The sequence below is a fragment of the Homo sapiens genome, chromosome 2 (assembly GCF_000001405.40).
Source record: "Homo sapiens chromosome 2, GRCh38.p14 Primary Assembly".
In the NCBI taxonomy this organism is placed as follows: Eukaryota; Metazoa; Chordata; class Mammalia; order Primates; family Hominidae; genus Homo; species Homo sapiens.
The window spans coordinates 164170175-164172027 of NC_000002.12; the positions used below are offsets into that span (position 1 = coordinate 164170175).

At 41.4% G+C, this 1853-nt stretch overlaps 1 annotated feature.

The window, feature by feature from the left end:
* Positions 463–682: a silencer, noted in NCBI's record as "fragment chr2:165027147-165027366 (GRCh37/hg19 assembly coordinates)". NCBI's record gives its function as "represses an EF-1alpha promoter that drives an FKBP-Casp9 reporter gene in an ReSE screen in K562 erythroleukemia cells {active_cell/tissue: K562}" and the evidence as "EXISTENCE:reporter gene assay evidence [ECO:0000049][PMID:32094911]".

The following is a 1853-nucleotide window of genomic DNA, read 5'->3' on the forward strand; positions in this document are numbered from 1 at the left end:
TAGCCGGGATGGTCTCGATCTCCTGACCTCTTGATCCGCCCGCCTCGGCCTCCCAAAGTGCTGGGATTACAGGCGTGAGCCACCGCGCCCGGCCTATTTCCAGTTATCTTAACACAATGCCTTTGTCCACTAGGATTCAGCCATATTAAAGTTCTTTCCATTCCTTGAAATTACTAAGTTTCTGCCACTGAGATATTGGCGCTAAAATATTCCCTTATAATGCTCCCCCTTCTCTCAGAAAGACGGACTCCCTGCTGTTTGTCTCTCAGGTTTACGTAATTCTTTCAGAGAGAACTCCCGTCACTACCTGCTTCTAAAGTATTCATTCTTTTACTTTCTATTATCTAATTTATTCCACTTTGGCTGGGTGCAGTGGCTCATGCTTCTAGCCCCAGCATTTGGGAGGCCGAGGTGGAAGGGTTACTTGAGCCCAGGAGTTTGAGACTAGCTTGGGCAACATGATGAAAGCTCATGTCTACAAAACATACAAAAAAATATAGTGGGGTGTGGTGGTATGCCCCTGTGGTGCCAGCTACTTGTGAGGCGAGGTGGGAGGATTGCCTAAGCTCAGGAGGTCAAGGTTGCAGTGAGCTGAGATCGTGCCACTGCACTCCAGCTTGGGCAACAGAGCAAGACACCATTTCAAATAATAATTATTATTATAATTTACTCCACTTCTAGCACTTACCATTATCAGCCATTTTATTTTATCTGAATTCCTCACTGTTATGTAAGCTCCTTAAGATTAGAGACCTACATTCTGCTGTTAATTGTTGTAACTTATTCACAGCTTACACATTATATGGCACAGAGGAAACCTCAATAAACATTTGGTCAATGAGTGAATGAAATAACCATCTGAAACTTCATCATCTGTGTAGAATTCAAAATCAGCTGCTATAGCTCCCACTAGCTCTGTAAAGGTGTTGTCCAGAGTTACTATCCTTTACTATGATATCCAAATCTTTGTTATATTTCACTGTTTTCATCTCATCATCTCCTCTTCTTGTGGATTTTGGCTCGTGTTTCATAAGGGGTTTTATGATTGTTGTGTTGTTAGTGAGTCCTGCTAATGGAGAACGTTAATAATATTGGTATAGTGTTTGCGATGCTGAGGGCAACAGATGCTATACGTGACCTTAATTGAAGACATCAAACAGTTTATAAAATTTTCTTCTAGACCTGGTTAAATTTGTTTAGGATTTGCTCCCGATCTACATAGCACTGTGCTGTCTGACTCCTCTCCTCCTTTTCCCCCATAAGCTGCCTATTGTTTTTGGTTTATTCAAACTCAAATTTGCAGAGGTCTATCCAAATTCAGTGTTTATTATGAAACATTGTGTTATCTACATAACATTTTCCCCCAAGTCTGACAAATTCAAATGTTCTCCCAAACTCAGATCGAGATGTAGTCAGTACTTTGAAGTGCACATCTTCCATCACAACTTCTGTCTGTAATCTATTCAGTTAGCGTAGGTGATAACAACCTGACATGATCCCCTACACTCTTGTAGCTCAACACTGTGTACAGAGGCAGCACATATTAAATTACAATCCTTAGTATGTATTGTATTTTCAAGGCCCATTCTAGCTATACATCTATTTCTTTTTAATCTCCTAACATTTTCTATTACTCACGGTTCTCTAGTGGGACAGACTAAGTTTATTAAGTATTAACTCACATAATCACAGCATCCCACAATAGGCAGCCTGTAAGCTGAGGAGCAAGGAAAACCAGTCCGAGTCCCAAAACTGAAGAACTCGGAGTCCCATGTTTGAGGGCAGGAAGCATCTGGCATGGGAGAAAGATGAAGGCTGGGAGGCTAGGCCAGTCTAGCCTTTTCACATTTTTC